We start from the raw sequence: 27,457 nt of genomic DNA, 5'->3' as shown, positions 1-27,457 counted from the left end.
AGCTTCAGGCAGCATCTTTTGATTACCATTTTGTGTATTATACCTGAGAAAAAGGAGGTGTAAACAATCAATTATATAAGATTCAAATATTTTGAAATCTCTCTCTCTCTGTCACATACACACACACACACACACACACATATGAAACAAACAAAACACAGAAAAATAAATAGAAAGTGACCCAGAATTCTTGTTCTCTAATTGAAATATGTAGACTTCGGAGGTTAAGTAATCAAGATAGAAATCCTGCCCGTCCCATTTATTATTGTGTGATAATTTTTTATGATCCTCAGTTTCCTTGTTTGTCAAAATGGGGCTAATGATATTTTTGGCATTGTTTGCAAGAATTAGAAGCAATGTATGTCAAGAGCTACACACAATTCAAGTATTACTTGACCAGAGGTTTTATCTAAAAGAAAAGATGTCCATCCAGCTAATAGCAATATTTTTTTCAGAGTCAACAGTGTCTACACATTTAAAAAGTGAAAACTCCATTTACTTGATTTCAAATCTTACTCCTGTATTGTTTTAAATTCATACTAATATGCTATATTAATCACTTGGGCTTTTGAACACTTTTGTAGAAAAGACTTACAGAAGATTTGCACTTCATCCTTAGATACTTTGTTAATTTCAATTCATTTCAGAAAATGTCTAAAGTCTTTAATGAAGTGCTATCTTCATTTATTAGTTGTACTATAATTCGGTGAACTTCAGCAGCTCAAAGTAAAAGGATGACATAATCAATTATAATTGTTTTAGAAATGTTTTTGCCTTAATTTTTTTAAAAGCTCTAAGGTAATAATAGCACTTTTCATCTGCAAAGTACTTTATAAAGGTGAAGAGGAAAAAGTGTTCTCTGGTGGTTCAATAAGACATTGAGAGTTCAGAAAATCGAGGCTGTTTCTTTCTCCTTTATTGACGTCAATGATTTTTGGATAACTTACCTAACACAGGTGGTGCTCTTCATATATAATGTTTCTTGCTTTACAATAGGTCAAAGAACTATTATCTGGCTACTTCTCTTGTATAGGATAATTAGATAATTCCCCCCACCATCTATGTCACCCTATTTCTTACTTGTCTTTTCTGGCTTTATTTCCTAGCTTGTATATCTTTTAGTATTTTATATATTGGGAGATAATGATGAATATTAATCTAAAATAAAGGCTTCAATTTGGAGACAGAAGACGATCAATTTAAATTTCGATTATCTCTTAAATTGGCTGCATGGCCTTGGGCAAGTAACTTTACTACTCTGAATTGTTTTCTAACATGTAGAGTTAGTGTTAATTGTTTCTTACAGCTGATCTAAGGAGTAAATTAAATATATTTGATATGTATTATTATCACCTAACTAGGCCTCTGATTGGCTTCGTCATTTGGTGTAGTACTTGAAATCATAAAAAGGTTTCTCATCTTGCTTTTATAAAAAAATACAAAATATTTACAATGAACCACTGTCACTGAAATTTCTACCTACTTTTTCTGCTTTCCCCAAAACACACACACACACACACACACACACACACACACACACACACAGCTTCTCATTAGGTCTATTATCTCATTTCCTGCTAATTCTCTTTCTCTCTTATGAATTCCTTTTTAGCCATGCTAGCATCCTTGCCTTCGCTAAACATATAGAATTACTCCTACCTCAGTGCCTTTGCACCTATTCTTCCTTTTTCTGGAAACTTCCTCCCATGGATAGCTCACTCTCTCAGTTCCTCCAAAGTTTTGCTTAAATGTTAAAATCTGATTGAGACCTTCTCTGATGATGCTGTATAAATTACCATGTTTCTCACTTCATTCTTCCAGCACTAGCTATCTCCTTTCCCTGCTTAATTTTTCTCTATGTGTATTAATTATCTATTGTTTTATATCAAATTACTTCAAAACTTCGTGGCTTAAAACAATAAAAATTTATTTTTTTTACATTTTCTGTGGGGCAGGCAGGATTCCTGGCATAGCTTTACTACATGCCTGTGGCTCAAGGTCCCTCATGAGATTGTTTTCAAGCTTATGGCTGGGGCTGTGGTCTCATCTGAAGGTTTGTCTGGGAAAGAGTATACTTCTAAGTTTGTTCCTGTGATTGTTGGTCAGATTCAGTTCTTGTGGGTTGTTGGACTGACAGCCTCAGTTTCTTGAAGTCTGTTGCCTGGATGCCACCCTCAGTTCCTTGCCACATATGGCTCTCCATAAACTCAAAACACAGCCATTGGCTTTCCTTAGAGAAAGTGAGACAAAGTGAGAATTTCCAAGACAGAAGTTGCATTATGTTTGTAACCTATGCTCTGAACTGACACTTATACGATATTCTATTTATTAGAAATAAGTTACTAGGTTTAGCCTACACCCAAGGGAAAGACATTATACAAGGGGGTGAATACTAGGGAGTGAAGATCATTACGGGCTATTTTAGAAGCTAACTAAAACACCATGCTTGTATGGAATTTTGCCTGTTTTGTTCACTGTTATATCCCAAGAGTTTAGAACAATGCTTGACACATAGTGTATTTTCTATACATATTTGTTGAATGCATGAATCTAATACAGAATCTGCATGTAGTTGGTGTATAATAAATGATGGTTACATTATACATTCTTAAATAAGAATTTTCCTAATCATTCTTGTTATTCCTTAAATTATTTATATTGGATTTGATTTTCTATGATGCTACTAAATTAGATAATAAGAAAGAGCATCATAGGGTGCTTCCTCTAAAATTTTCATGCTTTAGAGAAAATATACTTCCTTTGGCTATCAAAGCTGCAAATTATAGGAAGATCAGGATGGCTACATCAAAGACTATAACAGACTAGTAGCAAAGAAAATTAAAGGTTGATAATACTCATCAGATTAGACTGTGTGTGTAGCTCAAGGCTTTGATGGAAAAACGAGGTTTATGGGGGAAAAAATCTGAAGATTTCTGATTCATAACAGCTGTAAAATTTTATGCTTCTATTTTTATTTTCTTTTTTGAAGAAGTCTGGATTGCTGTTAAGGAATCAGTATTCATTTCTAAAAGCCCTTCTCCTTCATTAAATAAAGATCTTACCCTCACTTAGACATAGTTTACCAGGGATTTTATAACTTTTAATGTCATTGAATTAGGGAAATCCTAGAATTAGAAATCAGCAGTACAAGAACATCCAAAGCATAAAGAACATCTTGTTCCCATTTGAAGCTAGGTGAGATTCAACTGAAAAAAAGTATACAGTTTGATGAGCTCAACAACATCTGTTTCTCTTGTTTTTAACTGTTCTTGTGAGTTAATGAATAAATGACAGGTGCTGAAGGAGAGGAATGCCAATAGAGGTTGACTAGGAATGGGCTGCTTTCCTTAATGGCAACTGTGCAATGCCAGAAGGCCTAGATGTTCATCAAGCTGGTGGAAGATACTAAGCACCTATCCTGTGTGTGATCCAGGACAGCAGCCCCTGAAGAGGAGCTGAGAACCACATCTAATGTGATACCTGTGTGATATGTCTGATGAAACAGGAAAACAATCACTCTTTGCATTTTCACTTTGATTCATCTTTGCTCTTTATACTGTTACTTCAGTTAATCAGTAACTTCTTACTTAAGTTATTCCTGAAAATAATCGGTAACTTCTTACTTAGGTTATTCCTGAAAATGTCAGTTAATAATTGGTAACTTTTTACTTACGTTACTCCTGAAAATGAGGTAGTTGTATGTTCAGGAACTGACACATCTACCTTTCAGTTATACTGGACCTGACTGCTTAAAGACCTTGTCATCATATTGAGGAGATGAAGATCCTTTTCACCTCTTGTGGCCATTGACCCCAAGAAATGGACATTAAAGTTTGTGCCCAAAACAGAAGGGTGCAACAATTGCATGTCTCAGTTGTACACTTACTTCTTCAGGACCACCGAGTAAGGGAAATCAACTGCACAAACACCTACACTCTGATGCTAATTTGGTCTATGTGAAAGTTTTAACTGAAGAAGGATGGAGACTCACACTCTGTATATTGGAGATGGAGGGAGTTGGTGAGGCTGAAGCCCCCTTCACTTCCTCCATGAACCCTATACCACAAGGAAGGCAAGGAGTGGTTGTCTAATAGCCTTCCTTTGAGAAAACAAAAGCCTTGAGGGTATTAAGTGACTTTTCTTAGAACTATACAGCTTATTAACACCAGAATTGTAATTTTAAACAAGCAATCAGGAAGTACTGGAGAAAAAAATATTTAAATGATTACACCAAGAATAAAAATAAACTTCTCTTTATCAGCAGTGAGATTAGAAAGATGACATTTTTTCTTTGATATTATCTGGAAGTTAAACTGATGAGTGTCTGAGAGAATACACTTAGTTTCTCTGCAAACAATTGAAATATTAGATCATTTTAATTATATTAAAATTACTCCCGTGTAAGCTGCAATCGCATTTGTGCAGCAGCAATGGAATATGAGAAAGTGTAAGTGCAGGGGAGTTGAAGGCTTTAATTAGAATTGAAAAACAAGAACACTGATGTACTATTCCTTTTAGAATAGATCTAGCTTCATTTAATTTAGAATTCAAAGATTTGCAAAAGAATGGGACAAATATTGTTAGGCGAGAGGTAGCAAAAAAGTGTAAAAACAGTCAGCAAAAATATGCTAAATAAAAGCTGTTATTTACATTAGCACTTAACAGAGTAAACAAGAAAAAAGATTGTTGTACTAATAAAGACAAAGGTAACAATACAGTTGTAACAATTCAGGTTTAAAACTGTATTTCAATCATTTAGAAGGCATTAATAAAAACCGCTGTTAAACCAAATATAAACAACTGTGAAAGGAAAGATGTAGCGTTGTCTTGTGGATAGAGCATTGAACTAGAAATATCTTTCCTTGAAAATTCTTTGCAGCTGGGCCTCTGATTCCTCATGAGGCATAGGGAAAGGCACTTTATTCCTCAATGCCACTGTTTTCTCATCTGCAAATCAGAACCCATAAAAAATCTCAACCCTATATAACTCCTGGACATACCATGTGATGTATTGGTTCTATTTCAGATATGCAGAAACTTGCAAAAACATATCTAAACATTTCTTCTGTATCAATTTATTTGGCCTTGCTGCTTTTTCTCTATAAGATAAGACCAGGGAAGCTTTAGCATATTAAGCAAATCAAAGTAAAGTTGCTCTTTTGGAACTGAGGAATGCAAGGAACATCACCCTCCCACCTACTCAGCTACCCTCATTTGCTCCACTCTGTCTGCTTCTAAAAGGGGCTTCACAAAATCCCACAACTCTGTTGATTACAGTTCTAAAATTCTCATCTTCACGATGCTCGCAGCTGAATATTTTGGATGAATCAAATAAATATTTTTCTCCACTTTTCATTCAGCTTTTTTCATGTATAGAGTTTTAATAGAATGATAATTTTAAACCACATTAAACCATAAAAGGTATTATTAAGATCCAAGCTTTAGAAATCATTTTTTCTTCTCAATCAAAAAGTAAGTAAAAAACAAAATTACTGAATCCTGAAGTTATGTTTCGATTTGTTGGATAAGACCAAAAATAAACATCTCCTGCAAGAATTCCTGTTTTTAAAGAATTCAATTCAAAGGAAATCCAAGTGTCAGTAAAAAACTCTTCGCACTAAAAATTAAGACTTGATACCCGAGTTCTAGCCCTGGTTTCTTCTTTAATTGACCACATGGTTTTGAAAACTTCCCAAAATACATTTCCTCCATATTCCATATTTACATAATATGTAAAACGGGAATCATACATAAGCGATAAGCTGTATAGAGATAATGTTTATAGTGAACAGTGGGGTCAGGGCTCATAGCCTCTTTGGTTATTTTAGTAAAGGCATAGCTTTTTTTTGGCTACATATTTTATGTATGAGAGAAAGAAGAGAATATACGTGTATATACACATATATACACATATACACATGTACACATATATACACATATACACATATATATACACATATATACACATATACACATACATATATACACATATACACACATATATACATATACACAATACATATATACACATACATATATACACATATACACATATATGTGTATATACACATATATATGTATAAAATTATCTACCAATAGATTTCTAATATGAAGTCTCGCTGTGTCTCTCTGAACTAAAACTGATTCTTGCATTTGTAATTTCAAATCACAATATCTGAGAAGAAACATGACCAGTGACTATCAAATGAGTCAGAAAACAAAAACAGTTATACCTCAGGACATTAAGTTACTATGAATATAGACCCAGAACCCACGTACATTGGAAGGAAAGACATGTTAAATTATAAGACTTTTCTGTTATTTCAAAATTTTAATATGTTATTCTTTAATGGTTCCTTTATACCTTCTACTGCCCCTCCTTTCACTCACACCTGCTCAAAGTCACTCCTCCTCCTCTCCGCTCCTCCCTCCTCCTCATTTTCTTCAGTTCCACCACTGAATTTTCCAGCTCACTCATGTATCAAAGTTCTAATTGGTTTCTGGATTTTCTACAAAAACCTACAGTGACTTTTTCTTAACTTTGCCCACATAGTTACAGGACATATAATTATACTAAGATGTGGATAATGTTTAAATCAGTTAAAAGAATTAATGCATATCCCATTAGATAAGCAGCTATTAGATGAATAGCAGCAAAGTGGGTGTTGGCATTCTTACACTTCTCTACTTAAATCTCAGAAAATTGAAATCATCAAAAGATAGAGCAGTTTGGCTGTCAATACTACATTATTACTCATGTCCTGACCAACTCTTCTTTGTGCAACGTTCATTTTATTATAATGACAACTAAAGAAAGGTATTGCATTAGCACTTTCTTGATCAGACCCTATTAAGGGTATTTTGAAGTAAATCCCTTCAAATTGTTTGAATGTAAAAAGGAGTCATTTTGATTATGTAGATGACATCTTCGTCATTTGAAAAGTATCAAAACAAAAATTTCTAGACTTTAAACTAAAATACACCCTTTTCCTCATTTCCAATAAAGATGCAACACAATATGACATTAATTTTTAATGTACACAAAATTTTCACCATGTTTTATATAAAAACACATCACAGTCTGATATATTGGCTATTTTACTTGTAAATAATTCATTTATGGATAAAAGCTCTTAGGTTAGAATTTTAAAGTACTTTAACAGTAAAGTGTTTTATGTATACAGGCACACCTAGTTTTATTGTGCTTCACTTTACTGCATTTCACAGATTTCACACTTTTTAAAAATGAAGGTTTGCAGTAACCTTGCATGGAACAAGTCTGTTGGGACTATTTTTCCAATGTCGTGTACTCACTTCATGTCTCTATGTCACATTTTGGTAGGTCTAGAAATATTTTAAATGTTTCACTATTATTACATCTGTTATAAAGATCTGTACTCAATGATCTTTAATGTTACTATCATAATGTTACCCCCAGCCACATTCATGTAAGTTGACAAACTTAATCAATAAATATTGTGTGTCTGACTGCTCCACTCACTGCCCATTCCCATTCCCCCATCTCTCTCCCTCTGCTCAAACCTATCTACTCCCAGAAAAACAACAATATTGAAATTAGGGCAGTTAGTAACCCGACAATGGCCTTTAAGTGTTCAAATGAAAGGAAGAGTCTCACATCTTTCACTTTAAATAAAAAACTAGAAACTATTGAGCTTACAGAGGCAGGCATGTCAAAATCCAAAACAGGCCAAAAGCTAGACTTATTGTGCCAAACAGTTAGCCAAGCTGAGAATGCAAAGGAAAAGTTCTTGAAGGAAATAAAAAGCACTACTGCAGTGAACACACCAATGATAAGAAAGCGAAACAGCCTTATTGCTGATACGGAGAAAGTTGTAGTGCTCTGTATAGAAAATCAGACAAGTCACAACATTCCTTAAGCCAAAGCCTAATCCAGAGCAAGGCTCTACCTTTCTTCAATTCTATGAAGGCTAAGAGAGGTGGGAAATCTGCAGAAGAAAAGTTGGAAACTAGCAGAGGTTGGTTAATTAGGTTAAGGAAAGAAACTGCCTCCATAACGTAAAAGTAGAAGGTGAAGCAGCAAATGCTGATATAGAAGCTGCTGCAAGTTCTTCAGAAGATCTAATTAAGATCATTGATGGAGTTGGCTACATTAAACAACAGATTTTCAATGCAGATGAAACAGTCCTATATTGGAAGAAAATGTCATCTGGGATGTTCTTAGCTAGAGAAGTCAGTGCCTGGCTCCAAAGCTTCAAAGAATAGGTTGACCCTCTTTTTAGAGGCTAATGCAGCTGGTGACTTTAAGTTGAAGCCAATGCTTATTTATCATTTCACAAATTCTAGAACCATTAGGAATTATGCTAAATCTACTCTGCTTGTGCTTTATAAATGGACCAACAAGGCCTGGTTAACAGTACATGTGTTTACAGCAGGGTTTACTGAATATCTTAACCCTACTGAGAACTATTGCTCAGAAAAAAACAATTCCTTTTAAAATATTACTGCTCATTGACAATGAACCTAGTTACCTAAGAACTATGACTGAAATGTATAAAGAGATTAATATTGTTTTAGTACCTGTTCACACAATAAGAATTATGCAGCCCATGGATTAAAGAGTAATTTTGACTTTCATGTCTGATTATTTAAGAAAGACAATATATAAGGCTATAGCTGCCACACATGGTGTTACCTCTGATGGATCTGGACAAAGTAAATTGAAAATCTTCTGTGGTCCTTAGACACAGGAAGGGGAACATCACACACCGGGGCCTGTCGTGGGGTGCAGGGAGGGGGGCATAGCATTAGGAGATATACCTAATGTAAATGACGAGTTAATGGGTGCAGCACACCAACATGGCACATGTATACATATGTAACAAACCTGCACATTGTGCACATGTACCCTAGAACTTAAAGTATAATAATAATAATAATAATAAAAGAAAACCTGAAAAGGACTCACTATTCTAGATGCCAATCAGAACATTCGTGACTCATGGAAGGAGAGGTCAAAAGAAGTAAACTGAAAATCTTCTGGAAAGGATTTGCTATTTTAGATGCCAATCAGAACATCTGTGACTCATGGGAGGAGGTCAAAATATCAACATTAATAGGAATTTGGAAGAAGTTGGTTCCAACCATCATGGATGACTTGGAGGGATTCAACACTTCTGTGGAGGAAGTAACTGCAGATGTGGCAGAAATACAAGAGAACTAGAATTAGAAGTAGAGCCTAAAGATGTGACTGAATTGTTGCAACCTCATGATCAAACTTGGAGAGATGAGGAGTTGCTTATAGATGAGGAAAATGGCTCATTAAGATGAACTCTACTCCTAGTGAAGATGCTGTGAACACTACTGAAGTAACTACAAAGTATTTAGAATCTTATATAAACTGAGCTGATGCAGACTCAGACCTTAAGAGGATTGACTTCAATATTAAAAGAAGTTCTACTGTAGGTAAAATGCTATCAAACAGCATTGCATGCTACAGAGAAATCTTTTGTGAAAGGAAGAGTCAATCAATGGGGCAAACTTCATTGTTTCTTGTTTCAAGAAATTGTCAACCTTCAGCAACCATCATTCTGGCAAATCAGCAGTCATCAACAGAAAGGCAAATCCCTCTAATAAAAAAAAAGATTATGACTAGCTAAAGGCTCAGATGATCATTACCATTTTTTATTTATCAAGAAAGTATTTTTAAATGAAGGTGTATACATTGTTTTTTTTAGACAAAATTCTATTGCTCGCTTAGACTAAAATATAATGTAAATAAAACTTTTATATGCACTGGGAGACCAAAAAATTTGTGTGACTCACTTTACTGTAATATTTGCTATATTGCAGAGGTCTGGAAACAAACACATAAAACCTCCATTGTACGTCTATATATATGAAAATTTAAAAGACAAATTATAGAGCTTACAGTTTTCAACAATGAATAACATGCTTGGGTTAACAATGACTATAATTTGCACTGTATTAGACTTTAACCAATTTTTTTCAAATCTCAAGTCTTTCCATCAGTTTCTTAATTTCAATTTTTTATTTTTATTTTTTAAATTATACTTGAAGTTCTGGGATACATGTGCAGAACTCGCAGGTTTGTTACATAGGAATACACTTGCCATGGTGGTTTGCTGCACCCATCAACCCGTCATCTACATTAGGTATTTCTCCTAATGCAATCCCTCCCCCAGCACCCACCCCCAGACAGGGCTCGGTGTGTGATGTTCCCCTGCCTGTGTCCATATGTTCTCATTGTTCATCTCCCACTATGAGAACACGCAGTGCTTGGTTTTCTGATCCTGTGTTAGACTGCTGAGAATGATGGTTTCCTGCTTCATCCATGTCCCTGCAAAGCACATGAACTCATCCTTTTTTATGGCTGCATAGTATTCCATGGTGTATATGTGTCCCATTTTCTTTATCCAGTCTATCATTGATGGGCATTTCAGTTGGTTCCAAGTCTTTGCTATTGTGAATAGTGCTGCAATAAACATACATGTGCATGGGTCTTATAGTAAAATGATTTATAATCCTTTGGGTATATACCCAGTAATGGGATTGCTGTGTCAAATGGTATTTCTGGTTTTAGATCCTTGAGGAGTCACCACATTGTCTTCCACAATGGTTGAACTAATTTACACTACCACCAACAGTGTAAAAGCATTCCTATATCTCTGCATCCCCTCCAGGATCTGTTGTTTCCAGACTTTTTAATGTTTGCCATTCCAAATGGCGTGAGATGGTATCTCATTGTGATTTCGATTTGCATTTCTCTGATGACCAGTAGATGATGAGCTTTTTTTCATATATTTGTTGGCCGCATAAATGTCTTCTTTTGAGAAGAGTCTGTTCATATCCTTTGCCCACTTTTTGATGGAGTTGTTTGTTTTCTTCTTGTAAATTTGTTTGTGTTCCTTGTAAATTCTAGATTTTAGCCCTTTGTCACATGAATAGATTACAAAAATTTTCTCCCATTCTGTAGGTTGCCTATTCACTCTGATGACAGTTTCTTTTGCTGGGCAGAAGCTATTAATTTAATTAGATCACGTGTCAATTTTGGCTTTTGTTGCCATTGCTTTTGATGTTTCATTTGTGAAGTGTTTGCCCATACCTATGTCCTGAATTGTATTGCCTAGGTTTTCTTCTAGGGTTTTTATGGTTTCAGGTCTTACATTTAAGTCTTTAATCCATCTTGACTTAATTTTTGTATAAGTTGTAAGGAAGGAGTCCAGTTTCAGTTTTCTGCATATGGCTAGCCAGTTTTCCCAACAACATTTATTAAGTAGGGAATCCTTTCCCCATTGCTTGTTTTTCTTGGGTTTGTGAAAGATCAGATAGATGCAAATATGTGGTATTATTTCTGAGGCCTCTGTTCTGTTCCATTGGTCTATATATCTGTTTTGGTACCAGTACCATGCTGTTTTGGTTACTGTATCCTTGTAGCATAGTTTGAAGTCAGGTAGCATGATGCCTCCAGCTTTGTTCTTTTTGCTTAGGATTGTCTTGGCTATACGAACTCTTTTTTGGCTCCATATGAAATTTAAAGTAGTTTTATTCTAATTCTGTGAAGAAAGTCAACGGTAGCTTGATGGGGATAGCATTGAATCTTTAAATTACTCTGGGCAGTATGGCCATTTTTGTGATATTGATTCTTCCAATCCATGAGGATGGAATGTTTTTTCATTTGTTTGTGTCCTTTCTTATTGCCTTGAGCAGTGGTTTGTAGTTCTCCTTGAAAAGGTCCTTCACATCCCTTGTAAGTTGTATTTCTAGGTATTTTATAATCTTTGTAGCAATTGTGAATGGGAGTTCACTCATGATTTGGCTCTCTGATTGTCTATTATTGGTGTAGGAGTGCTTGTGATTTTTGCACATTGATTTTGTATCCTGAGACTTTGCTGAAGTTGCTTATCAGCTTAAGGAGATTTTGCACTGAGACAACAAGGTTTTCTAAATATACAATCATGTCATCTGTGAACAGGGACTATTTGACTTCCTCTCTTCCTATTTGAAAACGCTTTATTTCTTTCTCTTGCCTGACTACCTGGCCAGATCGTCCAATACTATATTGAATAGGAGTGGTGAGAGAGGGCATCCTTGTCTTATGCTGGTTTTCAAAGAAAAAGCTTCCAGCTTTTGCCCATTCAGTATGATATTGTCTGTGAGTTTGTCATAAATAGCTCTTATTATTTTAAGATACATTCCATCAATACCTAGTTTACTGAGAGTTTTCATCATGAAGGGGTGTTGACTTTTATTGAAGACCCTTTTGCATCTCTTGAGATGATCATGTGGTTTTTGTCATTGGTTCTGTTTATGTGATGAATTACGTTTATTGATTTGCATATGTTGAACCAGCCTTGCATCCCAGGGATGAAGCCAACTTGATTGTGTTGGATAGGCTTTTTGATAGGCTGCTAGATTTGTTTTTCCATTATCTTATTGAAGATGATCACATCAATGTTCCCCTGGGATATTGGCCTAAAATTTTCTTTTTTTGTTGTGTCTCTGCCAGGTTTTGGTATCAGGATGATCCTGGCCTCATAAAATAAGTTAGGGAGGATTTCCTCTTTTTCTATTGTTTGGAATAGTTTCAGAAGGAATGGTACCAGCTCCTCTTTGTACCTCTGGTAGAATTTGGCTGTGAATCCATCTGGTCCTGGGCTTTTTTTCTTTGGTGGGCTGTTAATTACTGCCTCAATTTCAGAACTTGTTATTAGCCTATTCAGGGATTTGACTTCTTCCTGGTTAATCCTGGGAGGGCATAAGTTTCTGAGAATTTATCCATTTCTTCTATATTTGCTAGTTTATTTGTGTAGAGGTGTTTACAGTATTTTCTGATGGTAGTTTGTATTTCTTTGGGATCAGCAGTGTTCTCTCCTTTACCATTTTTTATTGTGTCTATTTGATTCTTCTCTCTTTTCTTATTAGTCTGGCTAGCTGTCTATTTTGTTAATCTTTTCAAAACATCAGCTCCTGGATTCATTGATTTTTTGAAGGGGTTTTCGTGTCTCTATCTCCTTCAGTTCTACTCTGATCTTAGTTATTTCTTGTCTTCTGCTAGCTTTTGAATTTGTTTGCTCTTGTTTCTCTAGTTATTTTAATTGTGATGTTAGGGTGTCAATTTTAGATCTTTCCTGCTTTCTCCTGTGGGCAGTTAGTGCTATAAATTTCCCTCTAAACACTGCTTTAGCTGTGTCCCAGAGATTCTGGTACATTGTGTTTTTGTTCTCAACAGTTTCAAAGAACTTATTTATTTCTGCCTTAATTACATTATTTATCCAGTAGTCATTCAGGAGCAGGTTGTTCAGTTTCCATGTAGTTGTGCGATTTTGAGTGAGTTTCTTAATCCTGAATTCTAATTTGATTGCACTGTGGTCTGAGAGACTGTTGGTTATGATTTCTGTTCTTTTGCATTTGCTGAGGAGTGTTTTGCTTCCAATTATATGGTCAATTTTAAAATAAGTGTGATATGGTGCTGAGAAGAATGTATTTTCTGTTGATTTGTGGTGGAGAGTCCTGTAGATGTCTCTTACGTCCGCTTGGTCCTTAGCTGAGTTCAAGTCCTGAATATCCTTGTTAATTTTCTGTCCTTGTTAAATTTCTGTCTAATATTGACAGTGGGGTGTTAAAGTCTCCCACTATTATTGTGTGGGAGTTTAAGTCTCTTTGTATGTCTCTAAGTACTTTTTACCACTATGTAATATCCTTGTCTTTCTTGACCTTTGCTGGTTTAAAGTCTGTTTTATCAGAGACTTGGATTGCAACCCCTGCTTTTTTTTTCTTCCCATTTCTTGGTAAATATCCCTCCATCCGTTTATTTTGAGCCTATGTGTGTTTGCACATAAGATGGGTCTCCTGAATACAGCACACCAATAGGTCTTGATTGTTTATCCAATTTGCCAGTCTGTGTCCTTTAATTGGGGCATGTAGCCCATTTACATTTAAGATTAATATTGTTACGTGTGAATTTGATCCTATCATTAATGGTGCTAGCTGGTTATTTTGCCTGTTAGATGATGCAGTTTTTCATAGTGTCTATGGTCTTTACAATTTGGTACATTTTTGCAGTGGCTGGTACCGGTTTTTCCTTTTCATATTTAGTGCTTCCTCCAGGAGCTCTTGTAAGGCAGGCCTGGTGGTGACAAAAATCTCTCAGCATTTGCTTGTTTATAGGGATTTTATTTCTCCTTTGCTTATGAAGCTTAGTTTGGCTGGATATGAAATTCTGGGTTGAAAATTCTTTTCTTTAAGAATGTTGAATATTGGCCCTTACTCTCTAATGGCTCATAGGGTTTCTGCAGAGATCCACTGTTAGTCTGATGGGCTTCCCCTTCTGGGTAACCCGGCCTTTCTCTCTGGCTGCCCTTAACATTTTTGCCTTCATTTCAACCTTGGTGAATCTGATGATTACGTGTCTTGGGGTTGTTCTTTTCGAGGAGTATCTTTGTGGCATTCTCCTGAAGTCTCCTGAAGCTGCTCCCACAGCCACCACTTCCCCTAGCTGCTCTGTCCCAGGGAGACACCTGACTGGTGCTGCTCCCTTTCTTTCAGAGATGGCTGCCCAGAGAGGAGGAATCTAGAGAGGCAGTCTGCCTATAGCAGCTTTGTGGAGATGTGGTGGGCTCCACCGAGTTCAAACTTCCCTGCAGCTTTGTTTACACTGTAAGGGGAAAATTGCCTGGTCAAGCCTCAGTAATGGCAGATGCCCCTCCCCCTACCAAGCTCAAGAGTTCTAGGTTTACTTCAGACTGCTGTGCTGGCAGCAAGAATTTCAAGCCAGTTGGTCTTAGTTTTCTGGGCTCTGTAGGGGTGGGATCCACTGAGCTAGACCACTTGGCTCCCTGGCTTCAGCCCCCTTTCCAGGGCAGTGAACGATTCTGTCTCACTGGCATTCCAGGTGCCACTGGGGTATGAAAAAAAAAACTCCTGCAGCTAGCTCGGTGTCTGCCCAAATGGCCATCTAGTTTTGTGCTTGAAATCCAGGGCCCTGGTGCTATAGGCACCCGAGGGAATCTCCTTGTCTGTGGATTGCAAAGACCATGGGAAAAGCGTAGTATCTGGGCTGGAATGTGCCATTCCTCACGGCACAGTCACTCATGGCTTCCCTTGGCTAGGGGAGGGAGTTCCTCAGCCCCTTGCACTTCCTGGGGGAGGTGATGCCCTACCCTGCTTTGGCTCACCCTCCATGGGCTGCACCCACTGTCTAACCAGTCCCAGTGAGATGAGCTGGGTACCTCAGTTGGAAATGCAGAAATCACCTGCCTTCTGAGTTGATCTTGCTGGGAGCTGCAGACTGGAGCTTTTCCTGTTTGGCCATCTTGGTCCACATCTGTATATCACTCCAATTATTTTTAAAACCTATTGTTACTAAAAGGAAACTCTGTGCTTGGTGTCAAAGACATTAAGAAATACAACAGGGTATAGCCAAACCTTAAAAACAGTTATTTTCATATGAGTTTACTGATTTTCATTGTTTTACAATGCCATTATCATTATAAGTATTATGATTAAAGTATGAAGAAAGTGTATCCGATTTCAATTTGAATGATGGTCAAAGATGTAGTTGCTCAATTTGACCTAAAAGTCTTACTATGATGAAACTTTGAGATGATTACTAGATTCTTTTCTCTATCCTTAGGTAAAAACTAAAATTCTCCTAACCCTGAGTTGTTTTCTCATTTCATTCTCCCTTAATAATATCACATTTTCACATCATCCTTTTCTGACCTTCACATTTATTAGGCCGTTGTAATGGGGTTATTCAAATATGGCCTTGTAATGTGAACACTTCCAGAAAGTAGCCACCTACCTTACATATTACTGAAGAACAACAACTGGTAACTGGTGTTCTGTTTTCTAATTCCACAGTTTAAGTCAACTCACATAAAAGATGAAAAGCATATGCTTTCCACTAGTCACCTTGGAATAGAATATTTAGAGAGCAGCAGCAGTCTTTCACTTGTACTGTTCAGTGCAGCACCTAGCACTTCTTGGGTGCTTAATAAATATTGAACAATCTAGCAATCAAGCCCTCCAGGCAATGGCTGCAGTTGTTATTCGACACATATGCAGACTGTACACAGTAGGAATTGCCAATCAAACAGCCAGATCTGAACACACAGAAAATAGCAGAGACAACAACAGCAGCATCACCTTCAAATACAAAGGACAATCTATATGTATATATTGTGCTATGTATGAATTTAATAGTATTCATGGTTGCCTTTGCATTCTACTCTGCATTTACATAACTCACCGCATGTGAAATTAGCCAAATGCTAAAAACTCTTCAATGAATATGCTTAACAAAAGGTCAACAGTCTCAAATCATTTTTTTAAATAAATGATGCATTTGCCTGAACTAAGTTCAAAATTGCCCTGGATGTGGGATATCTAACACTTTTATGCTATCAAACATGGAATTTCCTTGGTCCTACAAGCTAAAAATTGCTCACTCATGAATTCCACAAGTCTGAGAGTCCACTGAGAAATATGTCCCCTCATTAATATGTCTGATTAATAATTAATGTAAACTTTGCCTTTAGCACAAGATAGTACTTTGAATTATAAACCTTTATAATTAAGAACTATCATTTTGCTTTCAGACAATAAAGATGCCATTTAGTAGACTGCATTGTTGCCCTTTTTGCAACATTGTTTTCCTGGGAGCCTTGAAGAGTTAATGAATCTCCAAATATACCTAATTTCTGTGCAAAAATTTAGCTTTACCTAAGGGATCTGACCCAGTTCTTTAAAATAAAAATTAAACCTCATATAAAAAGCAAGATAAATGAAGGTATGACTGTACTGAGGTGATAGGAAAAGCCTTAACATACTTATCATTTCCCTTCTCACCTACATTTTCCTGTGATACTTGCTCTTGTGTCAACCCTTTAGTGAATATTGCTTGAGCTGCTTAAAATTATATATTCAATGTCAGCTTTATGCTCTAAGGAATATTTAATGTGAGACATCATTCACTTTTGCATAGCAATTAGCTCTGTAGTGTGAAAACTGGCTTCAGGTGAATTCTACTTTAAAAAAAATGCAAGCGAGAACAGGAAGAACCTCCAAGCATGCACCACTAGCAGCTGGAGGGTCCAGTATATACAGAAGATTGTCTTATACACAGATCAATGGAGTCTATTTACTGTACAAAAAAATACATCCAAATTAGGAAAAATAAGAGTCCTGGGATATGTAAGACATGGACAGAACATGTTTATTCCTTTAAATCTCAAGAACATTGTGAACTTGACTCACACTTTGACATTTAAGAAGGCACTGAAAACACACTCAGCACAGTGAAGACCTTGTCTTTATTTGCTCTTTGAAATGCATCTTGATACACTCTTATTCCTCCTGACCAGCAGGTTATATTGAGTTACCTAATCCAAACACAGCACTTGGCTGATTTGAATCATTTATTCAATATTTACTGAGTGCTTATGATGTGCCAGGCCTAGTAACAGCTGCAAACTGTAAATAAGTAAGACATGCCCCCTCCTGCTCTTAGGAAACACACACTCCAGAAGAGAAGATAGATATCCCCAGATCATTACAATGCAGTGTGGTAAAGGCCTAAATAGAAGCATGAACAAAATAGATACTTGGGGAGCAAAAGCCAGGGAGAAGCTAATCAGAGCTGGAAAATAATAAGACAGAATATGTAGGTTTTAAATACAGTTAAAAGCGTGATCAAAGTAGATCGCACATTCCAGGAAAAAAGAGCAGTTGCCCATATCCTCTAATAATTTTTCCACTAGCTCCTTCACAATATCCAATTCTAGGGACACAGAGATTTCCCATTCAAGAGGATGGTGATGCAGAGTTATTCTTCACTCTAAAAGGTAGAAACACTTAGGATATCTCTGAATAACTTAATATTAATCTGTTTGTCACTTAATAGGAGGTGGATTTCTACTAATTTCCCTAATGTCAGCAAAAGTCATAGAGATCACTCTAAGCTTGGCACTAGATATATAAAGATGAATATAATTTGCTGCATGATCATCAGGAGTTTGCATTCCAAGGAGAGAGACAGCTATATAATGATGGCATACTAACACAATCTGCTAAGTGCAATTAGGAAAAGATGCCTTCCATGCAATGCGAACATGAAAGAATGGACAATTAGCCCATCTAGGAAGGCATCAGAGAAGGAAGGATTCTTTAATCATTGAGTACTAAAGAAGAAATAAGAGATAGATAAAGAAAATTAGAAAGAGAAACCAGACAGAAGAACTGGATGAACTAACTCATAGAAGCACTAAAGAGCACTATACCAGCATCTTAAAAATCTTTTTTTTATTATTATACTTTAAGTTTTAGGGTACATGTGCACAACGTGCAGGTTAGTTATATATGTATACATGTGCCATATTGGTGTGCTGCACCCATTAACTCATCATTTAACATTAGGTATATCTCCTAATGCTGTCCCTCCCCACTCCCCCCACCTTACGTATCATGGAGCATAAGGAAGAAGGCAAAGGAGAAATGTGAACCTAGCAGGTAAACAGTTACCAGATGCTTGCACAATATTACATGTTTTTAGAAGGAGCTCTGTATTATTATGGTCTAGTCAGTGGGCAGACATTTTATAAAAGAGAAAACAGAGATGCTAAAAATTTAGTCACTGGCCAAGGTTGCAAAAAACGTAAGTAGCAGAACCAGAGGTCAGAGTCAGGTCGGTCCTCTTCCAGAGCCCACCCTTGACTACTATGACTCCGTAAGTGAGTTGTGGGGCTATTTTCACATCTTCCATCAAGTTACTTTGCCTTCTTGTTCCTCTCATTATCGATTGATGATATAGTCAGATGAGCTATAGCAAGAATGTGTTTGGGATTCACAAAGATGGAAAACATGAGATTGTTTGGAAGAAGAATGCCACACAAGTACTAATATGATGTCAGAAGCCAGTGTGATTTTTTTCCTGCTAAAGCAACAGAGTGTTTTGAAATTAAAGTCATAATTGGACCTAGAATGCTAATAGGTGCAGCTGTACAACCTGATCAGTAAACAAAGAAGATGACAAACAGAGAGAAAGAAAATAGAATGTAAGAATGCAGGGCAACTGAACATGTAGCCTAAATAATTTGAAGAAGAAGAGGCATGGGTGTAATATTAGCATAAAATATATAAAATAATGATTCTTAGGTGAAGGGAAATTAATTATATTATCTGGCAATGATATAATCAGAAACATTGGACTTCATTGATGAGAGAATAGTAGCCTATATAGTAGAAAACATTTTAGAAGTAAGATCAACTGCAGAGTAGCAAGATTTTTGATATGTGGAAGAAAAAAGTACTTACAATTTTCAATTTGCAGTTTTCCAGAGTAATTGAGTCTATTTTCTTTATACCAGAATCCTTCAACACTGGACAGGGGCTGATGAACATAGGTGACTTAACAGGGGTCCTTTCCTTTCTGCCATAAGTTTTCAATGATGCTCTGATATCATATCAAGTTTCAAGAAAACACTCTCTTTGTAGCAACTGTAAATGGGAGTTCATTCATGATTTGGCTCTCTGCTTGTCTATTGATGAATAGCAATGCTTGTGATTTTTACACATTGAATTTCTATCCCAAGACTTTACTGAAGTTACTTATCAGCTTAAGAAGCTTTTGGGCTGAGACAATGGGGTTTTCTAGATATAGGATCATTTAATTTCCAAAGAGGAATACAGCTAACAAGGGAAGTGAAGGACCTCTTCAAGGAGAACTACAAACCACTGTTCAAGGAAATCAGAGAGGACACAAACAAATGGAAAAACATTCCATGCTCATGGATAGGAAGAATAAATATTGTAAAAATGGCCATACTGCCCAAAGTAATTTATAGATTCAATGCTATTTCCATTAAACTACTATTGACACATCACATAATTAGAAAAAAAACTACTTTAAAATTCACATGGAACCAAAAAAAGAGTCTGTACAGCTAAGACAAACCTAAGCAATAAGAACAAAGCTGAAGGCATCACGCTACCCAACTTCAAACTATACTACAAGTCTACTGTAACCAAAACAACATGGTACTGGTAGAAAAACAGATATATAAACAAATGGAACAGAATAGAGATCTCAGAAATAAGACCACATATCTACAGCCATCTGATCTTTGACAAACGTGACAAGAACAAGCAATGGAGAAAGGACTCCCTATTTAATAAATGGTGCTGGGAAACCTGGCTAGCCATATGCAGAAAATTGAAACTGAACTCCTACTTTACACCATATACAAAAATTAACTCAAGCTGGATTAAATACTTAAATGTAAAATCCAAAACTATAAAAACCCTAGAAGAAAATCAAGGTAATACCATTCAGGGCATAGGCACAGGGAAAATTTTCACGATGAAAACACCAAAAGCAAAAATTGACAAATGGGATCTAATTAAATAAAGAGCTTCTGCATAGCAAAAGAAACTATCATCAAAATGAACAGACATCCTACAGAATGGAAGAAGACTTTTGTAATCTATCCATCTGACAAAGGTCTAATATCTAGAATCTACATGGAACTTAAACAAACTTACAAGAACAAAACAACCCCATTAAAAGGTAGGCAGAGGACATGAACAGACAATTCTCAAAGAGAAGTCATTTATGCTGCCAACAAACATGAAAAAAAAGCTCAACATCACTGATCATTAGAGAAATGCAAATCAAAACCACAACAAGATATCATCTCACGCCAACCTCATGCCAGTCAAAATGGCAATTACTAAAAAGTCAAGGAACAACAGATGCTGGTGAGGCTGTGGAGAAGTAGAAATGCTTTTTTTTTTGAGGCGGAGTCTCGCTCTGTCGCCCAGGCTGGAGTGCAGTGGCGTGATCTCAGCTGACTGCAAGCTCTGCCTCCCGGGTTCACGCCATTCTCCTGCCTCAACCTCCTGAGTAGCTGGGACTACAGGTGCCCACCACCTCACCCGGCTAATGTTTTGTATTTTTAGTAGAGATGGGGTTTCACCGTGTTAGCCAGGATGGTCTTGATCTCCTGACCTCGTAATCCGCCCGCCTCTGCCTCCCAAAGTGCTGGGATTACAGGTGTGAGCCACTCTACCTGGCCCCGAAATGCTTTTACACAGTTGGTGGGAGTGTAAATTAGTTCTACCACTGTGGAAGACTGTGTGGCAATTCCTCAAAGACACAGAGGCAGAAATACCATTTGACCCAGCAATCCCATTACTGGTACATAACCAAATAAATACAAATCATTCTATTATAAAGAAACATGCATGCAATTGTTCATTGCAGTGCTATTCACAATAGCAAAGGCATGGAATCAACCTAAATGCCCATCAATGATACGCTGGATAAAGAAGATGTGGGGCTGGGGGTGGTGGCTTATGCCTGTAATCCCAGCACTTTGGGAGGCCAAGGTGGGTGGATCACCTGAGGTCAGGAGTTTAAGACCAGACTGGCCAACATGGTGAAACCCTGTCTCTACTGAAAATACAAAAATTAGCCAGGCATGGTGGTGCGTACCCATTAGTAATCCCAGCTACTCAGGAAGCTGAGGCAAGAGAATCGCTTGAACTTGGGAGGCAGAAGTGGCAGTGAGCTGAGATCATGCCACTACACTTGAGCCTGGGTTACAGAGCAAGACTTTGTCTCAAAAAAAAAAAAAAAAATAGGAAGGAAGGAAAGAAGGAAGGAAGGAAGGAAGGAAGGAAAGAAGGAAATATGGTATATATACACCATGGAATACCCTGCAACCATAAAGTGGAATGAGATCGTGTCCTTTGCAGGGACATGGATAGAACTGGAAGCCATTATCCTCAGCAAATTAATGCAGGAACAGAAAACCAAACACCACATATTCTCACTTATAAGTGGGAGCTTAACAAGGAGAACACATGGACACAGGGAGGGGAACAACACACACTGATGCCTGTTGTAGGGTGCAAGGGGGAAGGGAGAGCATCAGGATAAATAGCTAATGCATGAGGGGCTTAATACCTAGGTGATTAGTTGACAGGTGCAGCAAACCACCATGGCACACATTTACCTATGTAACAAATATTCACCTTCTGTGCATGTATTCTGAAACTTAAATTAAATTTTTAAAAAGTTTCAAGAAAATACTGTCCAGGAAAATGGGTTGATGTACTCTTTGAAAGAACAACACTGTGTTAATAGAGACTGACAATGGAAGGAAACCATGATTACTCTCAAACACAACGACAACCTGACCCTCTCATTTTCTCCATTTCTAAGTGAAATGCTGGAGGCAGGGGAAGGTGTTGAAGTTAAAATAAGAATTAAAGAATTGGCACTGCCATGCATGCTCTTTGAGCTAATGTTATTACCATATCCTCTGTCCAGCAATTTGTTCAGGTTAAACATCAGAAAGGGGTAAGGTAAGTGTCTATTTTTACAATACAGCTGGGGTTTGAAAACTTATGGTTTGAACACAAAACATGTTATTAAGCTGAGGTTTTTCAAAGCAGGAACATCTCATGAAATGGATTTGCTAGGGTTTCATTTGAAAATGTAATGACAAGTATTCAGTTGAAGACCAGGACCCCGATCTGTGCATGCATATTTATCAATTTCTTTTGGGGGAAAAATCCAGGTGACTCCAAATTTAGATTTTGGCCCTGATCTTGTTTATTTTGTACCTGAAACATGTTACATACAGCCTAGGTCAATGGGACAATAAGTCATTCTTTAAGGTAATTACTGAGTGCCTGCTGTTTCAACGGAATTTTAGGGGCAGCAAGATGTATGATGAAGTACATCATATAAGGGTCTTCAAGGAACTTGTAAAATTTTGAGAAAATAGGTGACTACATTAAAAGATTTTAATGTGAAGTAGTACAAGTGATTGATACAGAATATAAGAGTCTGCGGAGTGATAGAGAACATTATTCTTTACAATCTGAATCATGTTACATGAAATGACAGTAATTCGATCCTCAACTAGAAATCTCAACTAGATGTCAGTATTGCCTGAGTATGTTCACTCTCCACAGTTCAAAACAGCCGTTTGGTATCCTTTTCTCTCTTCTCAAACCATTAACATTCCTCCCCAACTCTAGGCTCATGACCCAGCTCCGTAATTCATTAAAGAAATAAAAACAGTCATAATTCAGATTACCTCACTCTCCAGCTAAAAGCTATATAAAAGCTTCCCACTGCCTTAAAATAGAATCCAAACTTTTACCTACAAGTCTGCAAGGCTGCAGATGATGTCTTCTCTGCTTCCCTCTCCCTCCCCATTTTTATACTTCTCTCCACTCTGTACTCTTGGTTCTGACATTTTACTTCCTTGAATAGACCCAACTTATTGCTGTCTAATGACTTTGCACCCACAGTTACCTTTGCCACAAATATCCTTCCTTTCCTTTGGCTTTCTCATGGTCAGCTTCCACTTATCATTCATTTCTCGGCTCAAATTCCACCTCTTAAGAAATGCTTTCCTAAACCTGGGTGTCCATCAACAGATGAATAGATAAAGAAAATGGGGTACATATACACAATGGATTACTATTCAACCATAAAAAAGAATGAGATCCTCTCATTTGCAACAACATAGATGGAATTGGAGGACATTAAATTAAGTGAAATAAGCCAGGCACAGAAAGAAAAACTTAGCATATTCCCACTAATTTGTGGTAGCTGAAAATTAAAACAATTGAACTCATGGAGATAGAGAGTAGAAGGATGGTTACTAGAGGCTGGGAAGGGTATTTGGGAGTGGGAAGGAAGTAGGGATGGTTAATGGGTACAAAAGTGTAATTAGATGGAATGAATCAGATCTAGTATTTGACAGCACAACAGGGTGATTACAGTCAACAATAATTTATTGTATATTTTATAATAACTACAGAAGTATAATTTGAATGTTTGTAACACAAATTATAAATGTTTGAGGTGATAGATACTCCATTTACCCTGATATGATTATTATGCATTGTTTGTCTGTATCAAAATATCTCGTGTATCCCATAAATATAGACAACTACTATGTACCCATAAACTTTTTAGTGCCTTTCCTTACTATCTTATCTAAAGAAGCTCTATTGTATCCCTTCCCCTAAATTAAGCATTTTCTTTTGTATAGCTTTTGTTTTTACTTTAGGACTGTGGCTTTCTAAAATTATCTTGTTTATTTATCTACTTTGGTTTTGACCGTCTTGTACCACTGGAATGGAAGTTCTATTGGGAAAGGAACCTGTCTGACATCTCCAGTGGCTTACCCTATGCCTGATTTATGAAACTCAAAAAATATCTGCTGAGTGAATTAATGAATGCATAACTAAAAGAATGGCTAAGCCTGAAAGTAAATGTGCAAAGGAGAGCTATACAATGTGTGATATTTGTAGGTTAATCCTTAGACTTGATGGAGCAGTATTGGCTTCCAAACCTGATATTCAAGTATAGAGACACTCTTTCTCCCTTTGTTGTCAGTAAGTGTATGGTTACCTTATAGCATCAGAAAAATCCAATTTATCTGTGGTTTGAGCTGATAGTCAAAGGTGTAACAAATATTTATTAAATGATATTGACTTTATATTATTTTCACCCACTAATTTTGCACTTATGTATTTTTATAATATTTCCTGTTGTCCAGCTAGTTGGACAGTTCTTCTATCAATAACAAATTTGTTAGTGTAATACGGCACAATTACATATTCATAAGTACGCCAAAGAATGCAAATACCCTTGAGTAATTAACATTCTCTAGTTATATTACCCAGAAACCTACGGTATGACACCCTCCTCTAAACCCCTAAAGAATAAGAAGATTCTAGTTTACATGAGCTGTACTATCAAAAAGCTGAAAGAATATTTACTGCTGCATAGGACGTTATGCTTTCTTAATGAAGTGAAGAACACATTCAGTGAAATATGTATTTCTCTTAATGTTTCTTAATTTAATATTGAACATTTCTTTCTTTAAGTGGACTTTGGGAGAGTAAAAAGAAATCCAACAAATTCAAATTGGAGGAAGCAGTCAAGAGTGTTAAAATAATTCTCTACACATTTTTCTTTGCACACATTTAATTTACATGAATCTCAGCAATAGCTTTGAAAAGCAAGTACCTCTTAAGAGACTTTTAGTTACTTTTAGTACCACTCTCTGGGTTCTTATAGCCACTTTAAAATTAAGGTGGCTTGGGGAAAAACTCATACCATTCCTGAAAAGAAGCTCTTCAAGTAAAAAGAAAAAAAAACCTTTTTTCTTCTCTTAATTTTATTCTTCCCACTATTTCCTTTAATGTACTTACTAATATAACGCAAGATAATGTTGCACGTAAGTTCTGAACATGTAGTTTTGGACTGATAATTTCATAGGTTAGAACATTCAGTCAGAACACTCATTAGATTACTATGTCTTCTATCCTATTCTATAATTTTTCTTATATCCATATGTCTATCCAAACACAAAAGACAGTGGCTGCTCTCTGCTGAGAAATGAAACGGAAATCTCCATTACAATACATTGCCTCCTGTATGAATGCTCTGCATTTCCAGCTGTCTTCACTGTATTAACTGATGTCATCTTGTAGATTTGTAGCCTTGTCTAAACTGCTCTTGCAATGACACTAATAATAAAAAGATACATCATGAGCAGCAGTTATTAATATATAACACTAATTACATAAAACATTGTTTTGTCTAGCACTACGATATTACATTAAAAACTGCCCTATCATCTTCATTTAACATCAACATAGTCTATACATGGAGAACTATATTTTGAAAGGGAACTTGGTTAACTCTTTTTAAAGTCTTATGAAAAGTGGCTTTGAAATTATGCTATATCACCAACCAAGCCATTATATAAATTTGCTTTTGTGAATGAAGATCAATCTGAGTAGCAAAAGTTTAATAATACAAAACGAATATGAATTATTCAAAAAGGAGCAAGCATTTAATGTTTTTTAATGAAAATGCAGATAATAAAAGTGGAAATGTCTTACCAATTTGGGGCTTTTTTGCAATTTTGTACTTCCCACTCATGTAACTATAAAAAATGCTTTGCAATATGGAAAGAGCATGGAAATCACCATTTTGAAACATACTGAATCAATGTATGCCTTTATTGGCTAGAACTTTTCTTGCTAATTGCATGCTTCAATACCTTGCAGTCGAGAGATAGATTGGAAAGGGAGAGAATGTAACCAAATTTTATTAATCAATAATTTACAGTAGAGCATGAAATGTTTAAAATTGTATCTGGGATCACAATAAAACGTGTCAAATGGTCATGGTCCTTAGGACATTAGTCTTTCAGTAAGCCTGGCTAACTCTAGCAGTGCCCCAGAAATGGATATATGAGAAGAAACTCTAGATGTTGGCATCAGAATTACAATTGTGTTTCTCATTTTTCTGTCCTGTCATTCCCACATTTGGCTTTCCTGTTTTTTCCACCCTCCAGTTCTTTTAAAGTTACAAGTTAGATCTCAGTCCCCGCCCACCTCCTTGGTTTGTCAATTGGTTTCAATTATCCCAACATATGTCAGTATCCAAGATGCTATTTCTATTGTCTACCTGGTGGCTTTATGAACTTTGATCATAAGTAAGAGAAGAGGTACTATTCCTCCTCATCTTTTCACCGGCTCTTCATTGGACCTTCCCACTTCAAACCAGTCACTTATACCTCAACTTTGTCCTTGCTAGGTCCTTCCTTGTGTAATAGAGGAACGAACAGGTGCCAGTACCTCTCAGGTGGTTTAGCCTCTGGAAAATGGTGGGGGGATGGTGTCTAAAACAGAGGACTATCTCAAGGGCATCATCAGAGTATGCAGTGGATACTTGATTAGAGCCTGAGGAATTTTCAGTGATTCAATCACATACATTGCTGAATGAGAGGGAATGTGTCACAGCTATCTGCAAATGTCATACGAGGCAAATGTGCACATGTTCTACAGAAAAAAAAGGGGCAACCAACAGGACTTCCATTTCCATAAAAATGTTACTTATGTGTTAGATTGAATGCTACATTTTTTAGTCCAAGGCAAAAGATTAATATCTATCTTAGGTTGTATCTGAGTGGAGAGAAGAATCCAACAAACATTGTTTAAGGAACTATGAGTCTAGACAACTTGGAATGTCTAGTTCTTAGACCTGGTATGTGTAGGGTACCTACTAAATTAATGAATGCTACACGGAAAAATAAATTAATAAAATAAGCTGGCATTCTAAAAAGAAAAATACAATTTCAACAAATAGGATCTTTGAAGAAAATGCTTTTCAAATAAAATAATGAAGAAATTGCACAAACAATGTGAATTTAGATAGGTAAACAAAGCAAGAAGAAAATAATATAATCTGTGTATGGGTAGAAATATAAAGACTACAATAGTTTTAAAATCAAGGAGGCAAAATATAGAGCTGACTAGGAAAATGGATATGGCATAATGTTCTTTTTGGTCCTGTGAGCAGATCAACGATAACTTCTACTTATTCTGTACACTCTGAAAGACTGATAATTGAGGA

The 27,457-nt window shown here is 36.4% G+C and overlaps 1 long non-coding RNA gene across 5 annotated transcripts in view; it reads right to left on the bottom strand.

Moving 5' to 3' along the window:
- Positions 1-1,906: 1,906 nt before the first annotated feature.
- The window catches only part of LINC02327 (long intergenic non-protein coding RNA 2327), a 138,162-nt gene continuing 112,611 nt past the window's right edge, over positions 1,907-27,457 (bottom strand). For all 5 annotated transcript variants that reach the window (NR_184195.1, NR_184194.1, NR_184190.1 and 2 more), the window contains one exon: positions 1,907-2,230. This is a non-coding gene — a long non-coding RNA (long intergenic non-protein coding RNA 2327). The remainder of the gene's footprint in view (positions 2,231-27,457) is intronic.

This window comes from Homo sapiens, chromosome 14 (assembly GCF_000001405.40).
Source record: "Homo sapiens chromosome 14, GRCh38.p14 Primary Assembly".
NCBI lineage: Eukaryota > Metazoa > Chordata > Mammalia > Primates > Hominidae > Homo > Homo sapiens.
The sequence above is the reverse complement of the archived record's forward strand: the minus strand, read 5'-3'. Positions and strand labels throughout refer to the sequence as shown.